General features: G+C 43.8%; 1 annotated feature.

The window, feature by feature from the left end:
- Positions 1,152 to 1,321: a silencer, noted in NCBI's record as "silent region_12115". NCBI's record gives its function as "represses an Ori minimal core promoter by ATAC-STARR-seq in GM12878 lymphoblastoid cells {active_cell/tissue: GM12878}" and the evidence as "EXISTENCE:reporter gene assay evidence [ECO:0000049][PMID:35858748]".

Raw genomic sequence — 9,035 nt, forward strand, 5'->3', positions numbered from 1 at the left:
TCAGGGGAACTTGGAATGTAAAGGAATCTCATGGTGTATGCATACTTCTGTAAAATGAAGATTTGCTCCCTTATTTATTCATTTTTGTAAATCTGAATAATTATTTACTGAGTTGAAGGAGGTATGCCTTTATTTAGGCTTTTGCATTTGGTATCTTTCCATTTTTTATTTTCAAGGTGCCCCAAAATGGCCACACATTCCACCTTTGGAGGAGGAAAACACAGCCAACATGCTCCCTAATTCTAAGTCATAAAGAGCCTCGAAATTCTGTGCCAGTAGTTCATAAGGAGTCCTCGTTTGATCTAGAAAACCAGCAGAAAACCTTGCCGCTGTCCCACAGGAGAGATACACATTTCACACTGACTGGGTTCTACTCCTTCCTTCTTTCCCTTCTTCTTCTCCTTTAGCAAATGAAAAGATGCACAGTACTTGCGATTTCAAATAGAATGGTGTCTGTTAAAGCTTTACCTAGGAGGAATTCCCCAAATCAAGGGACATGGAATTACTCAGCCACAGGAATTCTGGAGAATCCGGTCTCTGAAGATGAAGCTAGAAATGAGCAAAGGTTTACTGTTCGTTGTTTTCCTCGGCAGACAGCGCAGGGTCCTTATGGCATGGAAAGGCTGAGCTGTTGGAGCAGAGTGAAACCTGATTCCCAACATCTGTGCTCTAGACCCCACTCCGAAGGGGGACTTTCTGGAGGTATTTTTCTACTCTCCGTCCCCTGGGTCCCAATTAAGGGAAACACTTTTTTTAGACATGTTATTATCCCATGATAGAAAAGCAGGACTCACTGTTCCTCCTTCCCTCCTTCCCTCCTTTCTTCCTTCCCTCCCTCCCTCCCTCCCTCTCTCCCTCCCTTCCTCACTTTTTCCTTTCTTCCTTTCCCCCATCTAGATGAGCAATGCAAAAGGTCTGGTATTTGAGAAATGTAATTATATTAGTGATAAACTTCATGGTTTAATTTGGGAAATCTCCCAAACCTAAATTCCCAGCCCGGAGGAGTCCAATTAGATCTGGGCTGGGAAAACTAGAATATATTTCAGCGAAGGGGAAATAACCAAGGGGAAGCGAGAACCGCGAATGGCCAAACACTGATGTCGGCTCAAGTCCTCCTCGGAAAATGCCTGTGTATGAGGATAAAGTGGCTGGTGGAAAGTTCACTCAATCAGGGCTGCACGGTCTTGTGGAATAAAATACGTCCAGACAGGGTTACGACGTGCTTTGGATTCCAGCAGGGGGAGCTCTGACTCTGGAAACCGGTCAGTGGCCACCGAACGCTGTTTCACCGGGTCTAGACCTTTGGAGATCAGCGTTCTCTGGTCGCCAAGGTTGGTAACAAGGTCCGTGGGTAATGTCGCTGAACCAGAAACAGAGGTCTCCCTTTGCACAGTCCCCGGTGAGGAAAGCAGTTAACACCTCTGTAGAAACACAGCTGAAGAGGCATTTTAGGAGCAGGTGACCAAAGTCTTACAAAGGCAGCCGGGAAAAAGTCAGGGATGGAAATTAAAGCCCCCGTTTCCTCCTCTTTTTCCCTTCCATACCCCTAGGCATAACTGTTTCTCACTCGGGGGCTGAGCTCTGATATGACATCCTGTGAGGATACCTTTAGCAGGGGGAGCCACAACCCCAATTTTAAAAACTGCCTGTGGTTGGGATGAGCTAGATTTCCTGATGCCATCAGTCAGCTCTGGGCACTGCTGCGCCCTGCTGCTCTCACTTTGGGTGCCTAGGAAGGAGAAACACAATACCTTCGTGCTGTAGCTACATCAGTGCCAAGAGACCCCACTTCCCACGTCTTCTGGACTTGGCTCAGAAGCATCTGCAGAGAGACAAGGAAGCCCCACAAAATGTGGACAAATGCCATTCCAGCCCATGAAATAGCTGAGAAAGAGGGGCTCGGCACAGCATTTTCTAAGCTACGTTGTGTGAAAGGTTGCTGGACCCTAAGGGGCTCCCAGGTATTTATTTCATGCGGTAAAAAGTGTTCTGATGTCAGAGTCTGAGAAAGCCTGTAGGCACTATCTGTGCATTCCCCACTCCCCCAACTTTTGTGGAAAGAAATCTTGTTACAAGTCCTATAAGTTCTACAGTCCAAACAAACAAATGAAAAAGCCCACTTAAATTTGTCTGATCCAGCACTTCCAAAACTTATCTGACCATGACGACCATGACATTTTGTCTTTTCCTTTCCACAAAGCACCTATGTTCTAGGCACTTGTGTCTTGTGGAGCATACCTTGAGAAATACTGAGTATGCATAAAAGAGCAAAGTTCTAGGGGTGAAGAAACTTCTGCATTCCTGTAGATCGGTTCTGATCCTAACGTCTGCTATGATTCTTTTTTTAAGATGGTATTTCGCTCTTGTTGCCCAGGCTAGAGTGCAGTAGTGCAATCTCGGCTCACTGCAACGTCCGCTTCCCAGGCTCAAGCGATTCTCCTGCCTCAGCCTCCTGAGTAGCTGGCATTATAAGAACCCACCACCACACCTGGCTAATTTTTGTATTTTTAGTAGAGATGGGGTTTCACCATGTTGGCCAGGCTGGTCTCGAACTCCTGACCTCAGGTGATCCGCCCCCCTCAGCCTCCCAAAGTGCTTGGATTACAGGCGTGAGCCACTGCGCCAGGCCTGCAGCTATGATTTTTGACATCACGTAGCCTCTCTGAACCTCAGTTTCCTCTTCTGTAAAATGATGACTCCTCCATTCCTACACATCTGCATGGCTCCTGGCTGAAAGGGGAAGGATGGATGTCCGAATATACCTAAAATTTGTGCTCCTGGAGACAGAAATGGATCACACATTTATGTTGAAAGTAGGTTGTAGACTTTTGTCTACAAATAGACAAAATGAACAAAATCTTATGACCAGAGGAGACACTATTCCCCTCTCTTCCTATTTGGCTTATAAATCACAATTCACACCAGTCCTGTGGCTACTTGTATATCTTTATCTGTCTGCTTTGCTTAATCTATGGACTAGCTGCATGCAGCATTCCCTTTGCTATTTATATGCAAGACTGCGAGTTTAAAAAAATTCATGTAATGAATGAATTTTAATTGTTGAGGACATTTATTCAGAGCTTTAATGGGGATTCTACAGATTGCAAGGATTTACAGTCTTTTCTGAGGAATAGCAGGAGCCAGAGTGCATGACGGTGGTATTATAGTTGGGACTGACATTAATGGCATGGTCCAAGTTGTAAAGTGTACACCTGAAGGTTTATTTCTAAATTGCTATAAAGGACAGTGGCGAGGGTGATCAGGTCCTCTGTGCTAAAAGGGCGTTTCTTCTTTCCCCCCAGATCTCTACCTCTCCTTCACTTGAGAATAGAAATGGCAAAAGGAAACAGAATCACCTTAACTGCCTTTCCTTGGGGGTGTTGATCAGATGCATCAGAAGGAAGATAAGGCAGTGTGGCTTTGCAGTATGGCATGACCGGCCACCCAACCACCTTGCTCATGCCCAGCTGCATGCACTTTCTCAGCAATGTTTATCCAACAAACATTGATTGAGCACCTACTATGTGCCAGGTATTTATTCCCATCAAGTGGAAAGTCCTCTTTTCCAAGCTGCAGCTAAGTTCTGGCTCCTCTATGGAGGCTTCCCTGATATTTCCAGGCTTCACTAATATCTGCCAAATTCTAAATTGTTATAGTTGGGGTTACACAATTGAGCAGTCATTATATACTTCTTGGTTGCTGTGGTTTCAAATAAATGTCTAAGATGTAAGCTTCAAGAGAGCAAGGGCTGCGTCCTAATAATCTTTTACTTGCTCTTGGTGCTTCTATAAACACAATTCACCAAATCAGATCAACAAACAACAGACTCTGGACAATCCTTCAGACTACATGTCTCTGCACCTCGAGGTAATACAATGTGTTTTTCAGCCAATAGTGTATGCCGTGCTGTAGGTGCCCTGGCAACTATCCCTAATGTCTACTCTCTTTGTTCTAGTTGGTTTCTGTTTGTTTCAGAATTAGAGGGTCAGATTTGGTGTTTACTTCTCACTATTTGTTATTGATCATGTTGTGCATTAAGATTTGGTAAACTCAGCAGAACTGAGTGGCTTTCTGGGTGGTCTGAATTCATCTCCAAAGGCAACTTCCACTGATGTGGTCTTTTTTCCTGGCTTTCTGTTTTACTAGTTTGTGGCTAATTACGAGGGCTTCAGTCAGTCGATGTAGCCACAGATGACACTAACACCCTAGGTGGCCCAGGGGAGGATTTGTGGAGCTGTGGTGTCTGGGCTTTTTCAGAGAGGCCTGCAGGGAAATTACCGACGTGGGTGTGGACTTTGTCTCTGTCCTTCCTACGCCTCTCCTACTGGCATCCTCCCCCAACTGAGGCTCTGCCTCCACCTGTCCTGGAGTCTGATCTAGGTATTCCCTGCCACAAGCATCTTGCCTAAGTAACTTGGGGCTGGTAAGTGTTTACAGTGGGCCACCTCCCGAGAGCATACTTATATGAAAAATTCATCTGGAATACCCAAAAGTGTTTCATAAAGCCTAACTTGGCTGGTTTTCCCCAACAAATTGTAACCTTTGCACACGTTTTCACAGTCTACAAAATGCTTTCATGCACAGTGTCAGTCGAGCTGTAAAACAACCATGTGAAGTCAGGGGAGTGGTGGAGAGGCAGGGATCAGATGACTTGCACAGTGAGTGCAGAAGAGGTGGCAGGGCTGGAACCCACCAGTTCTTCTGACTTGTCCCTGCCCTGTTTTGCCTTGAATTGTGGTTATTGGAGTAGACATCCTTTATTCTCATAGACTGTAATATGATGTAGTGGAAAAGTAGTCAGTCTGAACACCTGAAACTAAAGCCAGGTCTATTCCTCATAAGCAAGTGGATACTACTACCAATAATAATTATAATAAATCACAGCTCCAGTGTATCCAGCACTTACTATGTATGAGGAATTGTACTCATATTATCTCATTTAATACTCAAACAGCCCTCTGCAATGGAGCTTAGAGCAAGGTTTCACCATCACTAACTGATGCTCAGATTGAAGCCAAGTTTTCTCTGTTTCAAGCCCATGATTATTCAGTTTCTGCCTTGGTTGTTGAGAGGTTTAAGCAAGATAACCATGTGTCTCACATGGTGCCAGATTGATGCAAGTTAAGCTTACAAGAAACAGTAGGTCTGTCTCTCCTTTTCCTTGAGTCTAGGGATGTAATCACCACCCCACCCCACCCCTTGGTATTCCTCATAGCATAGTGTTTTGCATAAGTCAGTCCTAGGTGAACGTTCATTGAGTTAAATGGAAATCAAAGCTGAGAATGAGGAAATTAGTCTGCTCTCCTCAGCAGGTAGGGGAAGTAATGAAGACCAAGCAGTTCCATTGCAAGAGTTGCTGGCATCTAGGTTGGTGCATAATGAGACTAGGGTTGTGGCTTTGGTCCCCAACCACTACCTCCTGGTTCTTCACCCACCACCCTGGCTGCCCCTCTTACAAAGGAAACATCTTTTGTAAGCATCTTTCTGTCTTTCCCCTTCATGTTACTGTATCTACGAGTTCTGTCTACATCGAAGCCTTGCAAATGCCATTCGCATTACCAACTCCCCTGCTATAGGTGCATATATATCCCAACACCTACTCAGCCTGGAGTCCCATACCTCATACTTAGCACGTCTTGTACTGAATTCATTATTCCCTCATCCCACTTAGCTGCTTTTCATGTTAAGCTCATTTGAATCACTTCGAATAATGTTGGTTTTATTGTAAGGATACATAGGTGGGAGAACCTAGTTAAAGCTGAAAAAGCAAAAACCAAAACCAGGCCCCAGGGGAAGAGAAACTGTAATGGGTCAGGAAAAGTGAGAGCCCAGAGCAACTCTTGGATGTTAAGAGCAGGAATCAGGGTGGCTTTTGCATGTGTCGCTAACCTAACTCAGCTATCCCACTTGACACTTGCTTCTGAGTGGCTGGTCCATGCCTGGGATGTGCATTGTTTCTTTACCTGACAACTCTGCTAACTTGTTTCCTCGTTCTCATCTTACTCATATTTCCACTTCTGCATAACTCGTGCATGCCTTGACGCCTCACAAGCCAACTCTAGCTCATGGAATGTCCATGCCAGTTTTAGATCCTACTGAATGCTGCCTCATTCTCTCAGTATTTTTGTGGTTCAAATTGGAGAGAATATGATTTTCTGGCACATATTTTCATGCCATACCTCCTTATCGGTTCTTGACCAGCCTGTGGGCTGGCTACCCTCAAGGGCCCACTGATCCAATCTGTCACTGTGGCCAAAGGTAGGACACTTGGCTGCCTTTTTCAAGAATGTTTTAATCACCCAACTGCCCTATGCTAAGTGAAATAAGCCAGTCGTAAAAGACCACATATTGTGTGATTCCATTGATATGAACTGCCCAGAACTATATATAAAGGCACATCTCTATATAAACTAGATTAGTGATTGCTTAGGGCTGTGGGTGGGGGTGGGGGATTGGGGCATGACAGTTAATGGGTATGGAATTTCCTTTTGGGGTGATGAAATGTTTTAAAATTGATTGTGATGAAGGTTGCACGACTCTGTGCTAAAACTCTATTCTAAAAGCCACTGACTTCTACATCAACATAGAAGCAGTGCATGGTAAGTGAATCATATCTCAATAAAGCTGTTTAGAAAAAAGAGTTTCGTAGAAGCAAATTTCTTAGGAAGGACCGAGGATATGGCAGACATCACATCCTCCTAATTGTTTATCTTCATAAATGCCACCACTTTTTAATCCATTTTGCCAAACCAAAACTCTGAAATTTATCTGACACCCCCCGCTTCCTTTTTCAGTTCAGTGGTTACCTCCTTCCTTGATTCCAGCTATTAGTTTTTTTATTATTTTATTTTATTTTTGTTTTTATTTTTAAAATAGAGAGAGAGAGTCTTGCTATGTTGCCCAGGGCTTGAACTCCTGGGCGCAAGTGATCCTCCTTCCTTGGCCTCCCAAAGTGCCGGGATTACAAGCATGAGCCACAGCTCCCGGCCCTTGATTATATTAGTGAAGTAGTTGGGTCAGATGCCCTACTTTGTGCTCCAAAAGCATCTGACACACGAGCCTGGAACCGTTTATTATCCTCTATTATAATTGGTGCCTTGCTGACAAGTCTCTGCTACTGGACTCTAAACTATTTGGAAGCCCTTCCCCTCCCTATCCTGGCATGCTGCCTGACACCATAGGTACCTAACAAGGTTTCTGCTGTGGCTGACTGGCTGGGTGGGATGGGATGAGGGGATGGATGGAAGGAAAGGTTGATTATCATCTCTGCCCATGACTGCTGCCTGCTCTTAGAAATCCTGCCAATTCCATAATAGGTGTGTGTGCCAATGGGAGAATGAATGAGGAATGGGTGGCTTAGTGCAGTTCCACCCTGTCATCTACCGAAGAATCCAAAACACAAGTGATACTGATGCAGTGTGGCCCACTGCTGTGGGAACAGTTTATCTGTGGCAGCTGGCAACCTTCCAAGGACTCAGTTTCCACTCACTGTGATTTGACTTGAGTTTCCAATGGGCCCTGGGACACGATATATTCCTTAGAGTAAGGGCAGACCTAGTGCTCAGTTACACGGAATAGGCCTGGTGTTTCTAGTCATTTCTCTTCTGGGCCAAGCCCCTTGACTGAAAGATTTGGGGCAGTGGGAGGGCAAGAGAGTGGGAGAAGGAGAAGTAGGGAGAGGAATAGCCTTCTCAGAACAACAATTGATTTGGAATATGAAAATCTTATTGATAAAAGCAAAGCCCAGACGGAAGGAAGCAGTTTGATATGTGCACTATTTGAAAAAAATCATGTGCATCTGTTTAGCACAATATACAACATAATGACAGCAATCTTCCCTGTTTGTATCTATTCATCTGATTATACAGAGTAACAATTCTTTTAGTTACACATTTATTTACCCAGGGATTTTTTAATGGATAATAAGTTAGTAAATCAGATAGCATGTGTTCTGGATAATACTTTAGTAAACTGTCTACCACACAAGACAGTTGCAATTCACATTTTATATAATATCCAATGTTCCATTAATACACATAGCACAATGTGAAGCTATGAACAGCTCTTCAAGAAGGACAAAGCAGATTTTAATGATTATTTAATACTGTTTGATCTAGACACATATTATGTTGAAAAGCTACAGATTTCAGTCCTGCAATGCACCACAGATGTAACGAAAAATGTGGACTTATTTGAAGTATAATCCAGTGGATTTCTTTTGATGCAGTTGCCATGGCTGTTTGTGCTAAAGTTTCTTGTCTTTGACCCAAGGAGAGATACATTGTATGCTTTTACTGACTTTTTCCAAACTTAAACCCCAAAGCATATATATCATTTCATGGCAAAATAATGAACTTGAAGGAAGAAAGAGAGAATAGTACTGCATTTACCTTAGGCCATTGAAATACGATAATAAAAGTAAAAATAGTTCTTTCTTTCTTCCTGGAGGGAAGATAGAAGTCAACACAATTTCTTTCCAGAATGCTGAATGGGCCAGGAAGTCTTGTGGCTTAAGACTGGAATTAAAGATGGCAGAAGAGCACATCTAAAGAGGGGCTCCGTCCTTAACTCCCCACACTACTGGGCCAGGCTAGCAGGAAAGAGCACAGGCTGCTGTTGCGAGGCCAGCAACAACCACCTCTGAGATTAATCCAGCAATAGCAGCTTGCAAAATGTTCACTTCTTCTGCGTCTCCTGATGAAGCTCATGGGGTTTCTCAACGTCATTAAGATGAGATCTGTTGTGGTCTTAAGATCACATTATATATCTTATTTCAAAGAAAATTCCTGTGTCAGATTCCCATTACATGCCACTTTGTAGGGTACTATTGCAAGTGGAAATCAGCATCCTTATTATTTAGTGAGTCACGAATGAGGAACATTTGCAGGCATGCTTTGGCTGCATCGAGGGTGGAATCTAAACGTTAAATCTGATCAGATACAGACAACAGCCAGACCTTTCTATTCCTTTCATGGCGTGGCATGTGACAGTATTATTGAAGATGGACGCATTGCTCCCAAAGCGATGCTCAGACT

Source organism: Homo sapiens, chromosome 2, assembly GCF_000001405.40.
Source record: "Homo sapiens chromosome 2, GRCh38.p14 Primary Assembly".
NCBI lineage: Eukaryota > Metazoa > Chordata > Mammalia > Primates > Hominidae > Homo > Homo sapiens.